The sequence below is a fragment of the Homo sapiens genome, chromosome 13, assembly GCF_000001405.40.
Source record: "Homo sapiens chromosome 13, GRCh38.p14 Primary Assembly".
Classification (NCBI taxonomy): Eukaryota; Metazoa; Chordata; class Mammalia; order Primates; family Hominidae; genus Homo; species Homo sapiens.
In genome coordinates, this window is record NC_000013.11 from 73,053,421 (window position 1) to 73,079,475 (window position 26,055).

At 39.6% G+C, this 26,055-nt stretch overlaps 1 protein-coding gene across 3 annotated transcripts, besides 4 other annotated features; it reads left to right on the forward strand.

The window, feature by feature from the left end:
• The first annotated feature begins 1,555 nt into the window (after nucleotides 1–1,555).
• Nucleotides 1,556–24,118, forward strand: KLF5 (KLF transcription factor 5). 3 transcript variants are annotated; one of them, NM_001286818.2, is made up of 4 exons: nucleotides 1,556–1,738; nucleotides 8,441–9,314; nucleotides 10,404–10,463; nucleotides 22,288–24,118. In NM_001286818.2, exons 2-4 carry the CDS (start codon nucleotides 8,453–8,455, stop codon nucleotides 22,464–22,466), a joined length of 1,101 nt encoding a protein of 366 aa, NP_001273747.1. In that variant the 5' UTR covers nucleotides 1,556–1,738; nucleotides 8,441–8,452; the 3' UTR covers nucleotides 22,467–24,118. The 3 variants fall into 3 exon arrangements, with proteins under 3 accessions (NP_001273747.1, NP_001721.2, XP_047286509.1); NM_001730.5 differs by lacking the exon at nucleotides 1,556–1,738 and adding an exon at nucleotides 5,585–6,168; XM_047430553.1 differs by lacking the exon at nucleotides 1,556–1,738 and adding an exon at nucleotides 6,262–6,419.
• Nucleotides 5,329–5,938: a silencer, noted in NCBI's record as "silent region_5397". NCBI's record gives its function as "represses an Ori minimal core promoter by ATAC-STARR-seq in GM12878 lymphoblastoid cells {active_cell/tissue: GM12878}" and the evidence as "EXISTENCE:reporter gene assay evidence [ECO:0000049][PMID:35858748]".
• Nucleotides 6,259–6,348: a silencer, noted in NCBI's record as "silent region_5398". NCBI's record gives its function as "represses an Ori minimal core promoter by ATAC-STARR-seq in GM12878 lymphoblastoid cells {active_cell/tissue: GM12878}" and the evidence as "EXISTENCE:reporter gene assay evidence [ECO:0000049][PMID:35858748]".
• Nucleotides 21,308–22,114: an enhancer, noted in NCBI's record as "OCT4-NANOG-H3K27ac-H3K4me1 hESC enhancer chr13:73648866-73649672 (GRCh37/hg19 assembly coordinates)". NCBI's record gives its function as "activates a minimal SCP1, AML or CMV promoter by ChIP-STARR-seq in primed H9 embryonic stem cells {active_cell/tissue: H9 hESC(primed)}" and the evidence as "EXISTENCE:reporter gene assay evidence [ECO:0000049][PMID:30033119]".
• Nucleotides 22,115–22,920: an enhancer, noted in NCBI's record as "OCT4-NANOG-H3K27ac-H3K4me1 hESC enhancer chr13:73649673-73650478 (GRCh37/hg19 assembly coordinates)". NCBI's record gives its function as "activates a minimal SCP1, AML or CMV promoter by ChIP-STARR-seq in naive and primed H9 embryonic stem cells {active_cell/tissue: H9 hESC(naive and primed)}" and the evidence as "EXISTENCE:reporter gene assay evidence [ECO:0000049][PMID:30033119]".
• Nucleotides 24,119–26,055: the final 1,937 nt, after the last annotated feature.

Sequence of the window (26,055 nt, forward strand, 5' to 3'; positions counted from 1 at the left end):
GTACACTTTACTGGCTTCAAATGGAAAATCATTTGATCATCAACTACTTCAGTTCCAACTAACCCTTAGCTGTAGAAAGGTAATATTTATTTATGTTTTCATTTAAACTATTTATTCTGATTACAAATGGAATACATAGCAATTGTAGAAAATCTAGAAAATACTGAAAAGTATCCAGAAGTGAATAATGACCCATAATTTTTTTTTTTTTTTTTTTGAGATGGAGTCTTGCTCTGTCACCCAGGATGGAATGCAGTGGTGCAATCTCAGCTCACCGCAACCTCTGCCTCCCGGGCTCAAGTGATTCTCCTGTCTCAGGCGCCTGAGTAGCTGGGATTACAGGCGCACGTCACCATGCCCGGCTAATTTTTTTACTTTTAGTAGGGACAGGGTTTCCCCATGTTGGCCAGGCTGGTCTCGAACTCTTGACCTCAGGTGATCTACCCGTGTTGGCCTCCCAAAGTGTTGGGATTACAGGCGTGAGCCACCGCGCCCAGCAGTAACCTATAATATAACCATCTAACGAGGGCCACCAAAATACATCCATGTTTGGTATTTTCTTTTCATCTTTGTGGGTACATATTTATAAAACCCCTTTCTTTGACTATACATAGCATGAATGTTTTCCCATGTCACTAAATGTTCCTTAATAATAAGAATTTTTCCCCTTTTTTTCCAACTACTCAACTTTTTGGTGGCATAACAGTAGCCATGGTATGGATGTATTGCTTAACTACTCCCCTAATGTTGGACACCTAACCTAGGTTATTTCCAATTTTATTTTAATTTAAATTAATTATTATTATTTGAGACAGGGTCTTGCTCTGTCACCCAGGCTGGAGTGCAGTGGTGTGATCATAGCTCACAGTAACCTTGAACTCCTGGGCTCAAGTAATCCTCCTGCCTCAGCCTTCCAAGTAGCTGGGACTACCGGCATACATCACCATGCCTGGTTAATATTAAACATTTTTGTAGAGATAGGGTCTCACTATGTTGCTCAAGCTGGTCTCCAGCTCCTGGCCTCAAGCAATCCTCCCATCTTAGTCTCCCAAAGGGCTGGGATTATAGGTGTGAGCCACCATGCCTGGCCCAATTTTATATATAAAGATATATGTGTGTGTGTATATATATATATATATGTGTATATATATGTGTGTGTGTGTATATATATACACATACACCTTTCCTAGAAGAGGAATTATCTATCATTTTCAAAGTTATTTACATTTTAGCCTTTTTCATACTTATTGTCAAATTGTCCTTCCCCAAAGTTTTAAAGTTTACACAACCATCAACAGTGTATGGAAGTTAAGGCATGAAGAACTCACATTGCTTTTAGCACTACTTTTACACACTTCATCTATAAATCAACATCTAAAAGAGTATTTCCGTGTGACCCATGCACGGTTCATTTGAGCATTCACAGGGTGTTCCCCACAGCCTGGTACATTACAGCTTTTGTCATAACATGAACAGCAATCGGCTCAAAACACTGCCCATTGTGATGCTGATGATGAGACCTCCCTAATGTTCTAAAAGATTGTTTGGTGTAACCACTTTAGCTCAGACCTTTCTTTTAACCTTGCCTATCATGTTTCGAGTCAGAATTTAAATACTGTGCAGTTTAAGCTACAATACGCTTGGCCTATAACTTGGTTCCAGGCATTTATATTTATGTCACTTTTGTCTACTTATTATACTAACAAGGTGGAAAAAGCAATCCCAGTCTCTCCAAAAGGTAAAACTCTCCTGTTTTTTTGGATATTATTAGAGTTTTAAAATTAGGCTAGATAAATTATAGTACCCTTAGGAATAAGTGCATAAAGGGAGTTTTATGAAATATTTTAAGAAGAACACATTTAAAAATCCAAACTGAAATATAAAATGTAATTTCTTAAGAACTGGAGGCAAGAGACATTACAAAAATAAAATATTAAATTGTTGTCTTAAGACATAATTTTAATTAATATAAATAGAAGTATTTAGTCTTATTTAAACTGCATATTTTTTCATCACAAAAGCAATGAACAGAGCATCTTCTCTCTTGTCTCGTAATCTTTTGAGTCAAAATGCTTTAAATTCCAACTAATCTCAGTTGAAGCTTCTATTTATCAGGCTATTTCCTTAATGACTTTTTTTCTGATGTGTGGCTTTAGGTGGTTGCCATTAATGAAAAAATACAAAGACTACAGATGTGAAATGTTGGAGAGGACAATAATTACAATAGTTTTAAGTTTTCACTGATACAGATTCTAACAGGGGTGTGCAATCAATGACTACCAAAAAGTCACTTTAATTAAATAATCTTACCCTAGAGAAGAGTGTGCTCCCGTATAAAGCTTTATTTTTCATTTTTATTCTTGTTCTTTTTTCTGTGGCCCAAGATCACTTGGCAATTTGATACTGATTTGGCAGAAATAAATATTCTATGAATATTTTTCTACTCAAAGTGAATACAGTTTTGTTGGCTGTGATACTCTATACCTCTTAATTTCAAGCTGTGACGTTTTTGCCAAACAACTGAATTTAGATTTGCCAAACAACTGAATTTAGATATTCCTTTTGCCGTGTCGTTGTGTGAACATTGCCCTAGTGATAGCTTCATATTTCCCTCATCTCATCATTCAGAAGCTATTTATCTATTTTTTTCCACTGCCTCCTTCAAACCCCCTCCCCCAACATTGAATGCCTGTTCAGCCCCCGCATATTCATCCGTATTTATTCCCGTAAAGATAGTGACACTTATGGTTTATTCTAAGACTAAATCTGTGTTGCCCAGTGACTAAGGACTTAAGCATGCACACTGCTTCTATGCTTACCCTCCTACCTAACTTGACTACTCAACATTTTTATTTCATTCCCTCAGAATCCCCTGTTTTGGCACAGTTCAGTTAACACACCACTGCCAGGCCACTAATTGATTTCTGAAACCTGACATTTGTTTTTTGTTTTCTCCTATCTTCCCTAATGGTACAGCACTACTAAGCGGGAAGGAATGCAAAGAACTAGAAAGTTCAAAGTAATTGAGGATCTGTCCATTCACACTGTCTGGCTTCAAGCCAATGTAGAACCTGGAACATTTGAAAAATATTTATCAAGTTTTAACCCTTTTTACTAAGTCGGTGAAACAGGTTTGCAGCTGTAGCATTTATGTTAAAAGCAACAGCAAGGAAACTTGGTCGAACATGTTCTTTATATGTTCAGAATCACATGGCAAATGTCTCCGAAAAGGATTACTTTCCAATTTCCGTACTATTGTACAGTGCTAAGCTAGTTATTTTCTGTGAGACTGCAGAGCAGGGCATTTCAGAGAAACTATTACTTAAAAGTGGCAGCCCTATTTCATGAATCTTTATGCCCAAAATGGAATTTTAAAACCTGCTACTGTATTGGAGCAAAAAGGAATATATTCAGTTACTATAAGAACCCCAACGCTAGCTTCATATCTATATTATGAAAAGTGGAAATATGAAAAATTAACAAGACTAAAAATATTAAAAACTTAGTTGTATGGTTTTTTTTTTGCAATGAAAAAGCTTTTGTAAATGAAAGCATGTTAAAAAGTGGTGTGAAATTATAGAAGCATTTCCAGTAAAATACATGGATTTTATTGCAGTGAAAACTTAGGTTGAAAGACCGGGCCACTGAAGCTCTCGTAAAAAGACAAAAGGAAAGGTCTAGATAGGTTTAAAAGCACATTAAGATACAGCTACCGAATGTATTAAATCTAAGTTAGATTTAGCTTAAAGTTACAAGAGCACAAAAGTTCTATTAAGAATTATCTACATCACATTTAGGTTTGATGTTATCAGAATTAAGTAACTAAAAATCTTTCAAAGCTCAATTTTTTAAAAGAGTTACATTAAATCCCATCCTAATTCTATAATCTGTTTCTAAGCTAATTAATTACATGATAGGTTTTACATTAGAGAAAAGCAGGACAGCTTTTTAAAGATGAAGATGGACAGCATGGGGCTGCTTGGTTAGAGAAAAACTTGCAAAAGCACTTATTAAATAATACTTTGATAACATGAAAGTAGTCATCAGCCATTCTCTGAAGGCAGTGATCACAGCTATAAAAATGAATCATGTGTCAACAGGAAGAGAAGGAAAAGGAGAAAAACCCAGTTTACAGCATAATTTTATATTTTCTAATAATAAATACATTTCTTTATGTGCATATTAATTTTCTACCCATTGAAAATGAGATCCATACCTTTGATAGATACACTCTTTGAAGTGAACGTTTTTATCCAAGACTTTTTTTTAAAGCTGTTTTACTCTGAAGTGATGAATAGGCTGTGGTATATGTAAAACTGTCTAATGGTATATTGTGTGTCAACATATGTACATTTGTAGTAATATCACAGGCATTTTTATTGCAGTTTATTGTTCCGTCCTCCCAATAAGCCAGATAAAATCATGTACAAGAACATTAAGGATTAAGGGAAGTGGTTTCCTTAGGTGATTGCTGGCAAAAATTCACCCTCCCATTATAACAACATAGTAAATGGATGGTAATATATTTGGCTATTACTTTCCAACAAATTTGGATTCCCAGTTTTCAGAGCTGCTCTGTGTCTATGTTTGCGGCTTTTTGATTGTCTCTTCGTAGGAAAAGGTGCCACAATGTGAGGTAAATGTGCTAGGTTTCTGCTTTGTAAATATTAAAGTCCATTTTTTGAACATACAGTGCTAGCAAAAATAAGTCAAAGATGTAATGTCTATTTAAATACACGTTTGAGCTAGTCGTGCTTAAATTAGATTCCATGCTTCGGCTAGAATCAACACGGCTTAAATATTAGAAACTTCAAAATTCATATGGCCCAAGCCCTCCTCCCCACACACGGATGGGAAGTAGAAATGTGTGGGAAAACGTCTAGCAATTAAAATCCTGAAGGAGTGGGAAAAACCCAGGCTTTTATGCAAGGATCTGAAAAAACGCTTGCCATCAAATCTTTTATTCAGGCATTCTGAATTTGCCTTGTTAAACGGATACACTCACTGCTAAAGATACACAGGGACAAGAGCTGTTTTAAATTTGTTTATCACACCGCCCCTAGTTTTCTGCTAAAGAGAAGTACATTTTGGATATTTAAAAGTACACACTCATTAGACAAATCTCTAAAAGCCTCAGCGCCCCTACCTAGCTGCCTTCTGGGTTTCAGCTTTTGAGTTTCAGGTCCTTGCACAACACCTAAGACGTGCAATACTCTTTTTCTTCCTAATCCTGGCAGAGAACAGTGCGAAGAGATCTCCCTCCGCGTCTCCACCCTAATTCCCCCTCTTCCCAGATTCCACCCGCTCCGCTACTTCCCTCCGCCCCCGGCTCCGCCAGCCCAATCTGTCAGAGAAGTTGTGTACAAACTGCGCGGCCGCCCTGCGCGCGAAGCTCGTGGCCCGAGAGGGGTGCGGTCGGGCCGACGGAGGCGGGGCCCTGGCTGCCTCTCTCCCTGCTCATAGGCTGGCCGCTCAGGCCTGGCCGGCCTCGGGGCCTCGGGATTCGCGGCGGCGCTGCCAATCAGGCGATCGGGCCCCGCCCCCCCGGAGTTGGGTGAAATAGAGGCGGGCGTCAAGTGTCAGTAGTCGCGGGGCAGGTACGTGCGCTCGCGGTTCTCTCGCGGAGGTCGGCGGTGGCGGGAGCGGGCTCCGGAGAGCCTGAGAGCACGGTGGGGCGGGGCGGGAGAAAGTGGCCGCCCGGAGGACGTTGGCGTTTACGTGTGGAAGAGCGGAAGAGTTTTGCTTTTCGTGCGCGCCTTCGAAAACTGCCTGCCGCTGTCTGAGGAGTCCACCCGAAACCTCCCCTCCTCCGCCGGCAGCCCCGCGCTGAGCTCGCCGACCCAAGCCAGCGTGGGCGAGGTGGGAAGTGCGCCCGACCCGCGCCTGGAGCTGCGCCCCCGAGTGCCCATGGCTACAAGGGTGCTGAGCATGAGCGCCCGCCTGGGACCCGTGCCCCAGCCGCCGGCGCCGCAGGACGAGCCGGTGTTCGCGCAGCTCAAGCCGGTGCTGGGCGCCGCGAATCCGGCCCGCGACGCGGCGCTCTTCCCCGGCGAGGAGCTGAAGCACGCGCACCACCGCCCGCAGGCGCAGCCCGCGCCCGCGCAGGCCCCGCAGCCGGCCCAGCCGCCCGCCACCGGCCCGCGGCTGCCTCCAGAGGACCTGGTCCAGGTAGGAAGAGCCGCTCCCCTCCCACCGCAGCACTCCCGGGCTCGGGCGTGTCCCGTTGCTGCGACTCGCGGGCGACAGGGGCCGCTCCAGGCTGGGGCGTGCGTCGGGGCGCACCGGAGCCGGTGCTGGGTGGGCAGCCCCGCCCTGCACGCCTGGCCGGGGCCCCGCGTTTCGCTGAGAGTAAATGGGGGGGGGGGCCGGGGGTGGGAAGGATGGAGGGGAATCTGCCCCGGCGGGTCGGCCTGGGAGAGGTAAGAGGGAGGGAACTGGGTGCTCACGCGCACCTTAGTTGTTTTTCTTACACTTGAGGGACGAAACCTTGTACCTTACGCTCAGTTTTACTTAAATTACGCCTTCGCCTGTACCGCTCTCCAATGCCAAGGCATTGGAGCCCTCCCCCCCATCCCCATCGTCTCGGGTTAAGTAGAAACGCAAATTGGGGTGCTGGGGAGAGGTTCCCCAAGGTTTCATACCCGGTGGCTCAACCTGCTTTAGAAGCGATTGCGGGCCGCGTTTGGAAAATGAGAGTTAGGAAAGCTAAGGTTGTGTCGGAGCGCTTATTTTTCCTTAAAAAAAAAAAAAAAAAAAAAAGACCGGGGGTGTTGTTTTCTTCGTGTGCACGTAAATTTCCTCCCGGAGCCGCGTTGAAAGCTGGCAGTTGGCTTTTACACTTGCCCAGCAGCCGAATTAGAGCAACCGCCTGTTTCTTTCGCCCACGCAGGGAGTCATATAGCCCAGAAAAAACTTCCCGGGACTTTTAGCCTGTCCCAAGGAAAAAAAAATTGGAAACATACCCACATGCAAACAGCTGGAAGAGCTAAAATCAGAAACCACTAACCGCCGCGGGAGCGCAGTGCACGAAAGGGTTTAGTTCAGTTTATTTCAAGACACTTCATTTAGTAGCTCTTTGGCGTGTCGTATATTTGCTACCCAGCGCCTACTCCGTGGGGTCTGCCAGGGTCTTGCTGTGAGAGGGCAGTGGCGTTTGTCAGAGATGTGACTCACATGATGAGAGCGTTAATTTTTATTTTTAAATCATGTCTATCCGGGAAACCCCGTCCGCATCCACACCAAGGTCCGAGATGAAACGCATTTGAAATGAAGTAGTAGCAGAAAATGACTGTCTTATTTACCTGTTAAGGTGCCACAGCTAATATATGCGCCATTCCATCTAGTTGGTTTTCTTATCTTTCGAAATTTCCTTTTCAGTGTTAAAAAATGTAGGCTTAAGTTATACTAGGAGAGAAGATAGCTGGAAAAGGCTTGAGGCGACTTGTTACAAGCTGGTTTATAGCCTAGAAAAGAGATCACCGTTTGAAAAGTATTTGGTTATTTCAGTTTGTCAATTTTCTGCTCTGGAGGCACTAAGAAGATAAGGGATGACTGAGCTTTTTACAGAGTAGGGGGGAATGTAGCATTGGCCCACTGAGAAGGACATGATAAATGTTTTGCTGATGACTGTGCTAGGGATACAGCAGCCTCCCCACCCACGGGCTCCTTAGCAGCACTCTACCAAGGGAGTGATTTTCCCCTAGGTAATTAAAGATCTGTTTTAGATAGGGATATGAATAGGAACATTTCATTATCATATTAACCAATTACAGGATCTGCTGATGAAAATCAACATTTAGATCAAATATTGAATGTGAAATTGTTTTGTTTCAGTGGATACAAGGTTTTGCTTAGAACGTTGTGTTTAATTTCTCATTGAACTGTAAACAAGAAAAGACACTGAAATAGCCAAATAATATTTTTATATTACTTTTGAAGTATCTAGTCAAGAAAAGAAACCTGTGCAATATTTTAAAGGTTTGCATCGTTTTTTCTATTAAAAAAAACCACGCTTTTTAATGTTTGTGACTTAAACAGAATTGAGGTAGTTTGGCAACATTTCAATACTGTACTCTAATTGCAAACTTAACTGTGTAATGGGGCAGGGAATCCTGCTTGTACAGGGGTGATGGTACCTTGTTATTGCATCAGAATGGAATGTTTTAAGTTTGCTTTCTTTTTTATTCTTGATTTGCGTCTTTCACTTTTGGGGGTGATTGGGGGAGCAGTTTTACCAGTTACACAGAGTTTCATAAGGTTTTGGTCAACCAGTTATTACACAATCGACAAAATAAGCCTGATATGTTTATAAGCAACACTGAGGAGTTTGCCCTAGTACCTTACACAGGGATTGGGGGAATTTTTAGTAGGCGCCGATTGTTCGTTCTTCCCGAGATGGTGAATCAGGTGGATTATGCATTTTATATCTCTTCTTTTTTAGACAAGATGTGAAATGGAGAAGTATCTGACACCTCAGCTTCCTCCAGTTCCTATAATTCCAGAGCATAAAAAGTATAGACGAGACAGTGCCTCAGTCGTAGACCAGTTCTTCACTGACACTGAAGGGTTACCTTACAGTATCAACATGAACGTCTTCCTCCCTGACATCACTCACCTGAGAACTGGCCTCTACAAATCCCAGAGACCGTGCGTAACACACATCAAGACAGAACCTGTTGCCATTTTCAGCCACCAGAGTGAAACGACTGCCCCTCCTCCGGCCCCGACCCAGGCCCTCCCTGAGTTCACCAGTATATTCAGCTCACACCAGACCGCAGCTCCAGAGGTGAACAATATTTTCATCAAACAAGAACTTCCTACACCAGATCTTCATCTTTCTGTCCCTACCCAGCAGGGCCACCTGTACCAGCTACTGAATACACCGGATCTAGATATGCCCAGTTCTACAAATCAGACAGCAGCAATGGACACTCTTAATGTTTCTATGTCAGCTGCCATGGCAGGCCTTAACACACACACCTCTGCTGTTCCGCAGACTGCAGTGAAACAATTCCAGGGCATGCCCCCTTGCACATACACAATGCCAAGTCAGTTTCTTCCACAACAGGCCACTTACTTTCCCCCGTCACCACCAAGCTCAGAGCCTGGAAGTCCAGATAGACAAGCAGAGATGCTCCAGAATTTAACCCCACCTCCATCCTATGCTGCTACAATTGCTTCTAAACTGGCAATTCACAATCCAAATTTACCCACCACCCTGCCAGTTAACTCACAAAACATCCAACCTGTCAGATACAATAGAAGGAGTAACCCCGATTTGGAGAAACGACGCATCCACTACTGCGATTACCCTGGTATGTGCTCTTACCTGGTTGAAGCATCAATAGATGTAGTGTGTGTGTGTGTGTGTCTGTGTGCGCGCGCGTGTGCGTGTGTGCACGCGCGTGCCCTTTTCAACCTCATGGCTTTAAATAGGAAAGTTGTACTTGACAGTAAAAAAAAAAAAAATTACCTTTTTTTTTTTCTCTATCCTATCTCTGTGCTTTAACTTTGGTATGTAAACCAGTTAGTTGTCTGTTGCTTATGTTATGCATCAAAAACTTGGCTAGAATATTCTGGAAAAAGTTCCCTTGGATTTTTTTTTCTTTAATATTAAAACAGATTTGAATTTCTAATACATATTATTTCGAGTTAGGCCAGAGTTACTTTAAAATGGCAATTGAATAAATTGCAGTTTTTAATTCTAAATTAAGTGCCCCAGAAAGAGATTAAAGTAGGGTGGGGGAAAATAAGGTTTGGTGGTGAAGTGGAGGTTGCAGGCAGCTAGCTTGATGTTAGGTACAAGACTGTCTACAAGACAGATTTAAGAATGGTTTTGATGGCACGTGAGCATATGCTCAGTTTTGAATGACATACATGGCCCAAAGTATAAGTTGAAGACAATACATGGAATATATTTACAAGTTACTGGGAAAGCTAGTTTATGATTAATACATGGCAAAATTTATTGACTCTGATACATGATATGGCATGACGTGCTAAATGAAAAAAGAAGAAATGTGGGAGTACAGAAAATTACAGTCATCTTGGATAATGGCTTAGTACTGTCAGCTCTAGAGCCATTAAAATTTTTAAAAAAACATATAGCAGCTCTTAATACGGAAGTACAGCACCTACTGGAATATAAACACAAATTTTCCATTTGTAGTTTGGCTTGATTATCTGTATTCTTTCCTGTTAAAGTGATACATAAAACAAATCACTTCATGCCTTTAATAAGGTAATGGGGGAGGGCTCTTTAAAACTTTTAAAACTGAAGCTTCAAATAATCTCATCTAGCATGAGAGATTTCTTCTTTAAAGCCAGATTTTAAACACTGAATCATCAAATGTAAAGATTTCAAAAGGATCTCCAAAATGACATGCTGTTCTCCTTTATTTTAGGTTGCACAAAAGTTTATACCAAGTCTTCTCATTTAAAAGCTCACCTGAGGACTCACACTGGTATGTAATTTTCTTGTTAATTCTGTGAGTTGTGTAAATAGTGTAAGTGGTATTCATCCTTTTAAAAGCTAACACGTGTTTGATCTCTTCTCCTGTCAACTTTGTTTTTTTTTTTTTTTTTAAATAGCCTACCTTTTCAGCACAGGCTTGGTTCAGAATTCAGTTCCATGAGAAATCTGGTTCCAGGAAGGCCGGTGATGTTCCCTCACTAAGGCCTTCTTGCCCTGTCACCGCTCAGAGTTGATTACCCAAAAATGTAAACAGCGATGTTTACTAATGGATTTTAAAACTTATACTGGCAGTGTTTTGAAGGAAAAAAAACAAAACAAAACTCATTTTCTTCCATAGCAAATAATTTTGCTCTGAGAAAGCCATTTTAAACTCTTAAAAACTTTCCCATTTGGAGTGTACTGCATAATTGGTGAAAACGTTAGTTTCACCTCTAGGTTAAAATATCTGTGTTTAGTATGTTTTCTGTGCTTGATGAAAGGTAGTGCTGAAATTGCAGTGTTAAAATCAGGTGGTCAGAAATGGGTTACAAGCCCCAGCCTAAACTTGGTATGTGTGAGAGACTTGATCTTTATTCTAGCTTACATTCATTCTTGTTTACATATGCTTTTAAGTTTAGCTCCTCTACTTTTGTATTTGCTTTGTTCAATCTATAGCAGTCACTTTTTTTGAGATGGAGTCTTGCTCTGTTGCCAGGCTGTAGTGCAGTGGTGTGATCTCAGTTCACTGCAACCTCTGCCTCCCAGGTTCAAGCGATTCTCCTGCTTCAGCCTCCCGAGTAGCTGGGATTACAGGCCCCCACCACCATGCCCAGTTGATTTTTGTATCTCTAGTAGAGATGGGGTTTCACCATGTTGGCCAGGCTGGTCTCCAACTCCTGACATCTTTATCCACCTGCCTCGGCCTCCCAAAGTGCTGGGATTACAGGCGTGAGCCACCGCGCCCGACCAGCACTTTTAAGAGCTTTTAAACTTTAAAATTATATCAGAAGCCATTTTAAGATGAAACCAGGTGGCATACTTTAAAGGCCCCCCAAATACTCCAAATATTGTCAAATATATAGATGGTTACTATTTGCGATTTTCTTAAAAGAGCAGCCCTAAAGAAAAGAACTTATATAAAGTGATTGTGTTTTTTTCCCTCAATAAATACAGCCTTACCTAAAGTTCAGAGAATAAGTTTGCTAATAAAAGCAATGACCTAGCAAAATGTATTATTCCATCATTGCTATGGAAACCAAAGTATTCAACAGTTCCTTTGAATGGGTTGTTGGATTAGTGTGAGGACTTGAATCTCCCGAGGCTAGATGTTACTATGGAAATTGAGTTTTGATAAATGAAGTAGTTATCTCTAACTGCTGCATTAAAAAGTAAAAGCCTTTGAACAAAGGTCAGTGCTGAGGTAGAGCCCTAAGAGGAATATGGTTGCAGACATTTTGTATGCATGTTAGGAAGCATTGCTTGATATCCCAGTGATAAACACTACTTACTAAAATCCGATGACAATGTTGTAGATTCCAGGGCTTTTTGAGAAACTGCTTTTAAGGAGAAGGCATCTTATGTATTTATCTATGAAATGAGCGGGCTGTTTTGGCCTGAGGTTTTTGCATGGAGACAAACTGATTACATAAGAGGAAGGATCCTTCATAGGCAGCCCAAGGTAGAAATTTTTATAGTTAAACACAAATGAATTAAGCATGTTATAAAAACTCCAACTTAAAGTTTTCAAAATACAAATGACAAGTGCCAGGAAAATATTCCATGTAGAAATACCAAAATGTCCTTTTACAGAATATAAATGGAAATATAAAGACATTTGAACTATTGTTTTTTTCACTTTTGGAAGTCCTTGAGAGATAGGAGGGAACACATTTTCCTGGGTTTAAAGTCTCCTAATAAAAGAGCACAATTGCATATAACGATGTAATCAACTACTTATTGCAGGGATGTAGTCAAACCCATATCTGAATAGCCTTTCACCCCGTCAGGGTTTAGTGCCCTGAATGCTTATACCTGCGATTCAGGAACTTGACCTGCCGGCAAATACATTTAATCGTGGGTTGTCTTAACAATGCTTGTACTAATAAAAACAGACTGAAAAGAAGACCGAGACCTGGTTTGGGTCCCTTGCATCAGCTTTTTCACCTGACCATAAACATTGTGGCCTTCAACATCTAATGAATGAGAACATGTAATCCAGTTTAATAAAGTTTTGTTTGATAGTCTTTCAAATGCCTTGGGGAGGGTTTGTAGCAGACTTGTTCATCTGGCTAAACCTGTTCTTGGGTAATCATAGAGCATTGAGGTTGTTTTCTCCTCATTTCTCATTTCTAGACAATGCCTTTTAAAATTACCTGTTCTCTCATTGCATCCTCCCCACCCTGCCCGCCTGTTGTTTTTAAATGAATGTATCTGAAGCCAGCAAAGGTGTTTTTTTTTTTTCTTTCCCTTTAAGGCCCAGGTAGAACAGTTAGGACAGTTTTTCTAAATTACTTCTCTTATGTAATAGCTTTTTTTGGTTTTCTTTCTGTCCTCCTCCTCCCTCTCGGACCGTTGATCAGAGGACTTTAAAAACCACACAACAGTTGATGACATAAAATACTCTTTAAATGATTGTCGTTTTACAGGCAGAATGTGAAGCACCCTAGCATTTCTTTGGAAAATAATTGTAATTGCTTTAAAATGTCAAGTTACCTTATGTTTTAAAAATAATTTAGGCAATGAAAACAGCCTACATCTGAGTTTAATTACTTCTTCTGGATTTTTAGATTGGAAGTGCTTCTTTAACTTGGGTTGCAAATTGAACCTAAGCAAATAATAGTCTTAACAAAATAGAACTTTTTAAGTAATCTGAGATGACAGAGTAGATGATATATCAGTTTCTTAAACCAGAAGTATAGCATTCAAGTCTTCTAAGTTCATATACTTTGATTTCTTTATCAGGAAATCGCATATAAATAATACAAAGTTCTGTCTTCTTTGTGTGATTAGACAATACTGGAAACATTTGCTTCTATTCTAGGGAATAATTATATTTTATTTATATCTGTACATACATAGTATAGCATAAGGCCTGTAGAAGCACCCCTTATAGATGTGGATGTTCGCATGTATTATTTGTAGTATGTGTGTGTATACATTTATCATGCCTTTGGTGAGAAATAATTATGGCTGCTTCTAGGTAACAATGTCAATGAGTGGTGTATTTCCAATTCAAAATATTTGTACTTTTAACAGCATTTAAATGAACATTGTACTGAAATTTGTATGCCTCATGATGTCTACAAGGGGCGGAACACATTGCTATTACTCTAAAGTTGCTCCCAAGTATACTGTTTTGTCTTTATAAATCAACATGACTGATAAACTGTCTATTGCAACCAGTATTATATGCTCACATACCTTACTTTTTTCTTTAATATAATGAACATTTAAAATAATGTCTAAGTTTGCAAAGGTTTGAGGCAAGTTGAAATCAGTAGGAAAATATATTGACTGTATCTTCAAACAAAAATTTGTAGAAATTTAAAAAGTTCTTACCAGAGAAAAAGTTCTGAAAAAGTAAACCATGAACTCAACACAGATGTTTGAAGTCCTAGCGGTTCCCTTCATGTGCGTGGATATACACTTAACCTTAGAGAATATGGAAAAGCTGTTGGGAAATCAGGGTACGGTAACGTTTCTAGATTTTTTCTTTCTTTTTTTTCCCCCGTTTCAGCTATCTGGAACAGGGCAAGAAATTAGCATTTGTACAAAGAAAGTCTTTGAACAACACACACTTGGCTCAAGTATTCCTCAGACCCAGACTCCATGCATTGGACTCTGTGTGTACTAAGTGATCCCAGAGTGGCTTACTGGAGATTGACAATGGAAAAGGACAATTTGAAACACGCCCGTAGGAGAAAATGGAAACATTGTACAAATAACATAGGAACACAAAATTCACTCTTCTTTTTTTTTTTTTTTTGAGATGAAGTCTCGCTTTCGTCCCCAGGCTGGAGTGCAATGGTGCGATCTCGGCTCACTGCAACCTCCACCTCCCAGGTTCAAGCGATTCTCCTGCCTCAGCCTCTCAAGTAGCTGGGATTACAGGCGCCTGCCACCACGCCCGGCTAATTTTTGTATTTTTAGTGGAGACGGGGTTTCACCATGTTGGCCAGGCTGGTCTCGAACTCCTGACCTCAGATGATCCACCCGCCCCAGCCTCCCAAAGTGCTGGGATTACAGGCGTGAGCCACCACGCCAGACTCACAAAATGGACTCTTAAAGCACTGTGTTCAAGATTCCCTGTTTAGGAAAGATTTCCACATTAAGTCCTGGAAAGATTTTTAGTGGAAGCCTAGTTTGTAAAGGGGTTACATTCCCATTTTCTGCCTTACTGTCTTTTGCAGAAGACTTTATTGCCTACTGACATGTGTAGTAAGATGTTATTAGTTATACTTCGTATAATCTGTACTTGAGATTTGCTGCTGAATATATTGACTTTCAGTTTGGGTACTAAAAGATCCTTAGATATGAATTTCTTTTCTAGGGCCTGGCACAGTGGCCCACACCTGTAATTCTGGCACTTGGGAGGCCGAAGCAGGTGGATCACCTGAGTTTAGGGGTTCGAGACCAGCCTGGCCAACAAGGCAAAACCCCATCTCCACTAAAAATACAAAAATTAGTCAGGCGTGGTGGCACATGCCTGTAGTCCCAGTTACTCAGGAGGCTGAGGCAAGAGACTCGTTTGAACCCACGAGGCGGAGGTTGCAGTGAGCTGAGATCGTGCCACTGCACTCCAGCCTGGGCAACAGAGTGAGACTCCATCTCAAAAAAAAAAAAAAAAAAAAAAATTCCTTTCTAGGTCTTTGCTCCAAAGTCATTTTTCATGGAATATATTAAACATAGCTTTTGGTTTTAAAATCTCGATAATATTTGGCTGGGCGCGGTGGCGGCTCACGCCTGTAATCCCAGCTCTTTGGGAGGCGGAGGCAGGTGGATCACCTGAGTTCAGGGGTTCGAGACCAGCCTGGCCAACATAGTGAAACCCTGTCTCTACTAAAAATACAAAAATTAGCTGGGCATGGTGGCACATGCCTATAGTCCCAGCTACTTGGGAGCCTGATGCAGGAGAATTGCTTGAACCTGGGAGGCAGAGGTTGTGGTGAGCCAAGATCATGCCACCACACTCCAGCCCGGACAACAGAGCAAGACTCCATCTGAAAAAATAATAATAATAAAAAATAAAAAATCGATAATATTGACAATAAAGATATTTTCATTGCAGGTACTTACTAAAAGCAACATTCAGTGTTCTGAACATAAGTTACTCTTCTTTTTGTGGAACTGTGGGAAAAGGGTAAAAGGCTTTTTAGGAAAACTGTATACAAAGGTTTTCACTCTGGGCCTTAATGGATGGAGATCTTACAATGTGAATCGAGAAATAATAGTGGTTAAATGTGTAACCTGTTTTATTGGTAGAGATAACACAGGCAAAATCTTTTTTGCAGGAAGAGATTTAGGACTCAGTGGTTTTTTGAGTCTCTATTTGAAAACTATTGCAGAGGAAGTATCACATTTATTAGCCTTTAGTATTAGATTTTATTAAACATTCTTTTCATTCTTTTCCATTTTTTTTTCATTTGCAGCTTTGAAATTTATTTTGTGTATTGATAATTTCAAACAATTTTTTTTTAAAGTAGTAGCTTAAGAGACTTGCTGGTTCAGACCCCAGGAAAGGTATTTATGAGCATGAAAGCTTAGAAGCAATTTCTTTTTAATGACTCACTGGGAAGATTAAACTTTGCTTCTAGGACTTGTTCTTTCTTCTGAGAAACATTTACATAGGAAATTGATTAAACATTGTTTAGAGATGATAAAGCTTATCAAAAGTTAAGTATAATTTGATTCAGCAAATATTTTTTACTGGTTTTGTGGAGAATCCAAAGATGAATAATCTCTTCTTGCCCTTTTGTTCATAGACTAAATAGAATTGCTGGAGTGGAGATAGAAATAATTAGTCTTGAAAGTAGAGAGTAATGTTTTTAAAAAATAATAATACAGTCACCCAAGAATTTGGCAGATATTTTTGGTTCTATAGAATGTAGTAGCTGTTTACTTGATGGCCTACATCGTTTCTAGTGAAAGATTAGAAATAATGTCCTACTTTAGTAAAAGTATCTCCGTAGCAGCATTCCTAGTCTGTTAGCCAGTATTATTTATATTCAAGGATCTCAAACAACAACTCTTATTAAGGATAAGTTACAGTTTTAGAAGTGCACAGTAGGTAACTTTTACCTAAAAATATCTATATAGAAGAATAAATTTATTTTTGGCTACTTTATGAAAAGGTAAACCTTTACGAGTTGGGAGGAGACCTACTGGTCAGGGTCACCATGTGAAGTGCAAATTAAAGGGAAGGTTATCTAGTACTCATTCCATACTGGGAAAAAATGAAAATAGAGGATTTTTCTGTTTTGCTTACAAAAAGAAAAGGTGAAATTCCTCATTGACACTTTAACGTCAGTGCGAACTCCCATTATAAGAAAGTGAATCCGAGTGTTGTCTCGTTATCAGGAGACGGAAGAATTGGTATTTGATTTCATTAACTCTATTAATGACAGGGGATAGTCTTCATAATGTTTACTGGGAACCCAGAGGAGAAGTAGCAGTAGTTTAGGAGCCCAGAGATTCCAAATCTCTGCTAGGATGTAGACTGTAAGTGTAACCCCTGACATCGTGATCCCACCCATTCCCTCTCTGGGTTTGGCAGATCAGTGCTTTCTGGCCCTGGGAGAAGTCCCCTCGCTGCCTTTGACCAGTGCTAGGGGCTCTAGTATGTCTTGGCTTTCCTGAAGTCCAGTCCAGTTCTACCTAAGACAATTTGTTTAAACAGAGTTTATCCCTGTATAACTTCAGAATGGACAATAACTCATTCGATTATTTTCTCTGGAAGTGGCTCAAAACATGGTTCTCACCTAAATGCGTATTACCAGATTACTCTCAGTGGTCCTGGGCAGGGCAAAGCCAGGCAAAAGCCCTGCTGCAGGAGGGTCCACAGAAGAATAAAAAGCTGACAGCCTCACAAGAACCTTTTATGCCTTCCCTCCTTTTCTTTAATCAGAATAACTGAGTTGTTTTCAAGATGCATTAGGGAAAGTGTGGCATTACAGCAGGAATAGAAGATAGTCTCTGCCCTTGAGGAACTTTAAAAGCTAGTTAAGGAGGCAAAATACAACTATTTGAAGCCTTCCTAAAGCAGTATATGTGCAAGTGCAAATTGATAGCTCAACAGAAATTTCAGTGATGGGGATACAGAGAAGTGAAATGATCTCTCCTGGTCTGTTCAGAGGCTTTCTAGAAGGAGTGAGGTATCGGATTTTAAAGAAAGTGATAAATATAAATTGAGGAGAGAAAGGAATTTCTCTTTTGTTGCTTTTGTTTTTGTTTTTGGCAATCAGCTTCCTTAGGTTGAATGGGCACAATATTGATGGTGTTATCTGGTAAATAATTAGATGCATTTACAAATGCTAATAATACTAATCTTTGATATGGACCTTCTGTTCCAAGTATAGGAAATGTGTGACAATGAGTTTTAATAGAAAGGTTTTTGATGGAAAATTACTGGCATAGACGTAAAAATATGAATTAGTGAGCTAAAATCATCCTCCTACTTTATCTCTTTTCTTAGATATCTAAATCATTTTCCTATGAATTTCTTTAATAAGTGTTTCCTATTTTTCTCCCTTTTGATTTTTAGAAGCAAATCTAATATGAGCCTATTTCAGAGACTAAATTTCGTAAGTCTCAAATGATGGGAAAAATCTAATTATTATTGAATTGCATGAAAATATTTTCCTCTTGAAATAAGAGCCCATTTTGAGCTTCAAGGACTCTTAAGTTCTAAGAGTTTAGATTAGGTTGAAATAATTTATTCTACTTTAAAAGTTTGGATTGTTTAGGTTCGCAGAACAAGATACAAGATTTTAAGTTCTTTGAGGCCAGAAACCAAGTCTTATTTGAGTTTTGCAAGGCATTTAGTACAGGTTACACCTTCACTAATAAACAGTGACTTTAATTCTCATGATATTTTAGCTTTATCAGATATTGATTGAGTTGTCTTTTAGTCACCAGGAAGGAAACCGATGTGTAAATTTGCTGCAATAAACTTTTAAAACATTATCTAAAATAACTATTTTAAGATAAATATTTTATCAGTGATTTTTATTCTTTTGTTAGAAGAATCTATGTAGAACATTTTAGGGAAAGGCCTTGGTATGTCTATTGAATGTGTTCAGCAGAGCAGAGAAACTTCCCATTCCATTGTGATAGGTTCAGAAGTCATTCAGAGGGGGGAAAAAAAAGGACAATTTTCAGTTTGTTGCTGAGGATTTTTAAAATGGCTTACAAACATGTTCCACTAACCCACTGAAATTCACTTACCCTGGGGGAAAGGAGCTATCGTTAGGTGATACCTGGGAATTGGCAATACCTGAACAGTGCTCAGGACCCCACAGGCCCCACAGAGGCTGGCACTGCCAGGTTGTGCTCTCTGTTTCAGATCGTCTGGGGTTCAAGGCTTGCTGTGAGTCCATTAAGCCATTCCTTAGCTGACCTTCGCAAGTGGCTTTAGAATCTGGAAATGAATTTGAACAATATGTATGTGTTCCTTAAATCGTTCAAAGAGAGTGTATTAGTGTTTGCTAATGGAAGATTTAAGTGAGACATTAAGGAAAAGTGGCAGACCAGGATTCTTAATGTGGAGCTCATCGTTTTGCTTCTAACTCTACGGGGTTATTGTGAGGAAGCGAGATAATGAGAAGTACCTCGCTCTGGAGTATGTGCTCCATGGCTGCTGGTGCCTGCTCCCTTTTCCTTTTACCGGTAATGTTTCTGCTTAACATTTTTGTAAAGTATGTTAATGACTTTATCAGCGTGGATAGTATGCATGTTTAACTTGAACATAGTTTTCAAAGATTAGAGATTCTAGCAAAATACTCCTGTAATTTAAAAACAGAATGAGAAAACACATACTTTGAGATAAAGTGGGAGCTTGTTTTCTGTGCTGTACAAACTTGTCACTTTTTTCTTTTTGCCTTTGGAAAGTTTCACGTTAACAGCATGAGAACTTAAAAATACAGTTGATGTTGAAAGAGCTTAACTAAATATTTTAAATTGGTGGTATTGGAAAGAGATTCTGTAAAAATCCAATTAAACTTTTGAAAGCTCTATCCTGTTGAAATATAACTTAAAGGAAGTCAGTTTGGTTTCCCAGAAGTACTGTGCATAGTGTTTCTGGCTGAGGAAGAAAGGCCCAAGTCTGCTGTTTGGCCAGAAATTGGGTACCAGTTTCCTCTACGATGTTTTACTTGAACGGTGTTGACACTTGAACAAATCCCATAGAAACTGCCCCAAGTGGGGGGATAGTTGTCCTTACTTTTATGGTAAGACTTGGCCCCAGTAACTAACATTCCAGACACTGGTAGTATTCTTGGCTGAATACTCTATAGATGTGCATAAATTGAGAGCAAAACCCCAAATGTTTTAGAAACTTTAATGGCTACCGTATTTCAAGCAATCAGTAAAGTAAACTTTAAAAAATACTGGTGCAGTTTATTGCTTCATAGCCAATAAAAATAGTGAACAAAAAGAGTCTAGTGTCCCTTGTTTCTTACATAAACTCTGAAAATTCAGTTCTGCTATTTAATTATTAAATTCAAAAGACTAGAATGATTTCTTTTAAAATTGGGAGCACTATAGGAATTTTTTTCCTTGTCTCAGACATCAGAAATAACTTTTTCTTTCCATTAAATGACAGTAAAGTATTTAACCAATATGTTTGTTTCTGTGGTTTATTTTTCACAGGGAACAAAAACTAATAGTACTGTGCAAAAATTTTTTTTGTGATCAATTTACATCTACAAATGTGATAGCTATATTTACTACTGGTGTTAAAATATTTCTATATATCAGACATTTTATGTGATTGTAAGTGACAGAACGTGATTTATACTTTGTTTTGTAAATGGCTTGAGTGTCTTAGGTTAAATTTCTGGTTAGAATCTACTATGAGGGGAGAAAAAACTTCTAGAATTGAGATGTTCATTTTTAAAGTGGATTGATAGGAACCAGAAAGGGAATTAAAACAAAAACTGTCTGGGTCAGAGGCAGAGGAGAGAAGAGAGGAAGTATGGCACAGCAATCCATACCATGGGAAATGTAGGTGAACTCTCAAGGGAAAAAAAATTGGGACCACTTTCATGTCGTCTGTTTTGGCACTTTCTTCTTTGTCTGAGAGTCAGAGTGGTTATCATGACAACAAAAATATATTAACCACAAATTGTAGAAATCTCAGTTGATGAGGACAGGGTCTTTTAAAGTTTAGACTGACTTGGTTAATCCTACAACTTCCTGAACATGATACTGCTAAATTAGGCAGAAAGGTTGTGCAGTTTCTGTTTCGTCAGAACTAAACAAGTGTTCAAAGCAACTCTGAGGTTCCTCCCTTTCAGAAGGAAACATTTTTTTAAGGGAATTTAAGAGGTGAAAAAGTATCTATATAAAACTCAGCAGTAAGCCAGTAATACTTTAATATACAAATTTATCTCACGAATTCTTATAAAAAATTCATAGAAAATTATAAAATCATAAATGTAGGAACTGCTAGTTAATGCTCACTGAAAGAACGTTTTGGCATTTATTCCTACTGGAATATATGATCTCCAGTAGGATTCTTCACAAACAGAGAATTAAGACTACATTATGAATATTTAGTGGTTTTGAAAGTTAAACAGCTGGCAAGCTTTGGGGAGCATTAGGAATAATATACATTACAGGATGGGAGGGAGGAACATACCAACTCAATACTCAAGGGAAGAGAACTGTGAAAGAATGGAATGGGTAGGTTGAACAATTTCAGACTTTTAGATGTATATTACACATGTAAGCTCCATGAGGCCAACTGTTTTTATTTTGTTAGCCATTGTATCACAAGTATTTGGGACAGTTCCTGGCCTATAATAGATGCTTGGCGAATTGTTTATGGAATGAATTTTGGGTGTAACACATGACAAAGAAAAACTAAATACAAGTCAACAAATGTCAGTTTTTACAGTTGTTTCATGGTCTTTTTTTTTTACCAATGTGAAGTTATCAGTACCAGACTATTTTGCTTCAATCTGCAAAAGGAAGGTGTGTGAAGGTGTGTGTGACTCTCAAAGAGTGAATGCCCTAATAGTCCATTTTGGAGGCCATGTTTTCAAGTGAACTGATTGATGAGCTGCAAGCTTCTGTCTGGCTAATTTAGAAACATCTAGGACCAGTTTCTGGTTAAGCAGTTGTGGTACATGAAATTCAATGTATAGGTGATTCGTGCAACAGCTTCTGAATTTTTTCCTCCCTCACCCACCTTACAGCCATTAGTCCTATAATAATTTAATTTGGGTTTGTTGGTATAGAAACTGTATTTGCACAATAATGATAAAGCCACTCAGGCTCATCTAGTCATTTCCTGGATTTATGTGTGTAGGAGTACATAAAAATAAGGGCACTGATTCGTTTTGTACTTGTCTAAAATTGTTATTCTTCAGTTGTTCAAAGGTACACAAAATGCTTTTTTCTTTATGAGGTAAAAAATACTTGGAGGTTATAAGAAATAACTCTTAACTAGCTTACTTTGAGTGGCTTTGATATGTATTTACTCATAATGGAATTCATGAGCTTTCCTTCTTTCGCTTGGCCAAGATTTTTTTTTTCTTTGAAATTCCTTCTCCGGTGTTATCTAGGATGTTTGCATTACAAGCAGGCCGCTTTACCTCCTTTGTTCGTTGTCACAGGTGAAAAGCCATACAAGTGTACCTGGGAAGGCTGCGACTGGAGGTTCGCGCGATCGGATGAGCTGACCCGCCACTACCGGAAGCACACAGGCGCCAAGCCCTTCCAGTGCGGGGTGTGCAACCGCAGCTTCTCGCGCTCTGACCACCTGGCCCTGCATATGAAGAGGCACCAGAACTGAGCACTGCCCGTGTGACCCGTTCCAGGTCCCCTGGGCTCCCTCAAATGACAGACCTAACTATTCCTGTGTAAAAACAACAAAAACAAACAAAAGCAAGAAAACCACAACTAAAACTGGAAATGTATATTTTGTATATTTGAGAAAACAGGGAATACATTGTATTAATACCAAAGTGTTTGGTCATTTTAAGAATCTGGAATGCTTGCTGTAATGTATATGGCTTTACTCAAGCAGATCTCATCTCATGACAGGCAGCCACGTCTCAACATGGGTAAGGGGTGGGGGTGGAGGGGAGTGTGTGCAGCGTTTTTACCTAGGCACCATCATTTAATGTGACAGTGTTCAGTAAACAAATCAGTTGGCAGGCACCAGAAGAAGAATGGATTGTATGTCAAGATTTTACTTGGCATTGAGTAGTTTTTTTCAATAGTAGGTAATTCCTTAGAGATACAGTATACCTGGCAATTCACAAATAGCCATTGAACAAATGTGTGGGTTTTTAAAAATTATATACATATATGAGTTGCCTATATTTGCTATTCAAAATTTTGTAAATATGCAAATCAGCTTTATAGGTTTATTACAAGTTTTTTAGGATTCTTTTGGGGAAGAGTCATAATTCTTTTGAAAATAACCATGAATACACTTACAGTTAGGATTTGTGGTAAGGTACCTCTCAACATTACCAAAATCATTTCTTTAGAGGGAAGGAATAATCATTCAAATGAACTTTAAAAAAGCAAATTTCATGCACTGATTAAAATAGGATTATTTTAAATACAAAAGGCATTTTATATGAATTATAAACTGAAGAGCTTAAAGATAGTTACAAAATACAAAAGTTCAACCTCTTACAATAAGCTAAACGCAATGTCATTTTTAAAAAGAAGGACTTAGGGTGTCGTTTTCACATATGACAATGTTGCATTTATGATGCAGTTTCAAGTACCAAAACGTTGAATTGATGATGCAGTTTTCATATATCGAGATGTTCGCTCGTGCAGTACTGTTGGTTAAATGACAATTTATGTGGATTTTGCATGTAATACACAGTGAGACACAGTAATTTTATCTAAATTACAGTGCAGTTTAGTTAATCTATTAATACTGACTCAGTGTCTGCCTTTAAATATAAATGATATGTTGAAAACTTAAGGAAGCAAATGCTACATATATGCAATATAAAATAGTAATGTGATGCTGATGCTGTTAACCAAAGGGCAGAATAAATAAGCAAAATGCCAAAAGGGGTCTTAATTGAAATGAAAATTTAATTTTGTTTTTAAAATATTGTTTATCTTTATTTATTTTGTGGTAATATAGTAAGTTTTTTTAGAAGACAATTTTCATAACTTGATAAATTATAGTTTTGTTTGTTAGAAAAGTTGCTCTTAAAAGATGTAAATAGATGACAAACGATGTAAATAATTTTGTAAGAGGCTTCAAAATGTTTATACGTGGAAACACACCTACATGAAAAGCAGAAATCGGTTGCTGTTTTGCTTCTTTTTCCCTCTTATTTTTGTATTGTGGTCATTTCCTATGCAAATAATGGAGCAAACAGCTGTATAGTTGTAGAATTTTTTGAGAGAATGAGATGTTTATATATTAACGACAATTTTTTTTTTGGAAAATAAAAAGTGCCTAAAAGATGTATGTGGTGCTTTTCTTCTTTACCTGCAATAAAGAGTCTGATCAGGGCGGTTAGTGAGAAATCAATTCCACACATTTGTAGAGGAGCCACATTGAACCCGTACCTACATAAGACGGGGATTTATTTTTTGAGACGGAGTCTCGCTCTGTCACCCAGGCTGGAGTGCAGTGGCGCAATATCGGCTCACTGCAACCTCTGCCTCCCAGGTTCAAGTGATTATCCTGTCTCAGCATCCCGAGTGGTTGAGATTACGGGCGCACGTCACCACGCCTGGCTAATTTTTGTATTTTTAGTAGAGGTGGGCTTTCACCATATTGGCCAGGCTGGTCTTGTGAACTGACCTCGTGATCCACCCACCTCAGCCTCCCAAAGTGCTAGGATTACAGGCGTGAGCCACTGCGCCCAGCTGGGGGATTTATTTTTTAAATTAGCATAAAGGGAGTCATAATTCACGAATACTTATCTGGCCACGTAATGCACGAGACCTTAAGCATCCTTAGTTGAAAACACCATAGAGAGTTAACTTGCATGTGCTAGTCTGGAGGCTGTGTCATCAGAGGCAAACAAGAAGAATTGGTGTAACACTTAAAAAAATCATTAGGATTTGGTTTTATTCCGCAGCAACAAGTACACCTAGAACCTACATCTTGTGTTTTTTTTTTTTTTGACACTATCACACAGGCTGGAGTGCAGTGGCGTAATCGTGGCTCACAGCAACCTCTGCCTTGGGTTCAAGGGATTGTCCTGCTTCAGCCTTCTGAGTAGCTGGGATTACAGGCACGTGCCACCATGCCCGGCTAATTTTTGTGTTTTTTGTAGTGATGGGATTTCACCATGTTGGCCAGGCTGGTCTCAAACTCCTGGCTTCAAGTGATCCACCAGCCTTGGTCTCCCAAAGCACTGGGATTACAGGCGTGAGCCACTGCGCCAGGCCTAGGTTTTGTTTTTATTTGTTTATTATTATTATTTTTAATTATGCTTTAAGTTCTGGGGTACATGTGCAGAATGTGCAGGTTTGTTACATAGGTATACACGTGCTGTGGTGGTTTGCTGCACCCATCAACCCGTCATCTACATTAGGTATTTCTTCTAATGCTACCCGTCCTCTAGCCCCCAACCCCATGACAGGCCCCAGTGTGTGATGTTCCCCTCCCTATCTCCATGTGTTCTCATTGTTCAATTCCCACTTACGAGTGAGAACATGCGGTGTTTGGTTTTCTGTTCTTGTGTTAGTTTGCTGAGAATGACGGTTTCCTAGATCTTGGTTTCTAATACCATTGTCCAATTTTTAAAAAATGAGCTCCTTAGAGAAACAGCTGATTCTAAGATTGGAGTGGGAAACATGCAAGTCCGGAGCATCCTGTAGTGTGAGAAAGTGGTATATCAGAAGGAATATAGGAAGCGATGAAAAAACCCGGCCGGGCGCGGTGGCTCATGCCTGTAATCCCAGCACTTTGGGAGGCTGAGGCGGGCAGATCACCTGAGGTCAGGAGTTCAAGACTAGCCTGGCCAACATGGTGAAACCCCGTCTCTACTAAAAATACAAAAAGTAGCCGGGCGTGGTGGCAGGTGTCTGTAATCCCAGCTACTCGGGAGGCTGAGGCAGGAGAATCGCTTGAACCCAGGAGGCAGAGGTTGCAGTGAGCCAAGATTGTGCCATTGCACTCCAGCCTGGGGGACAAGAGTGAGACTTCCTGTCAAAAAAAAAAAAAGAACCCTACAATAATCGGGGTATGTCAGCAACAAAGTAAAGCAGGATTGCATTATAATACAGTATAAACTATCCCTTTGTCTGTACTGATATAAATGGTTGCATAAACAGAAGAGAGAGATCTGTGCCGAATGACTCCAAGTAAGTTTTTTAGATACCTCACCCTCAAAGAGTGGAAGAAAACTGTCTACTCTTCAGTGTGGGCTACATATAGTGACTTCCTT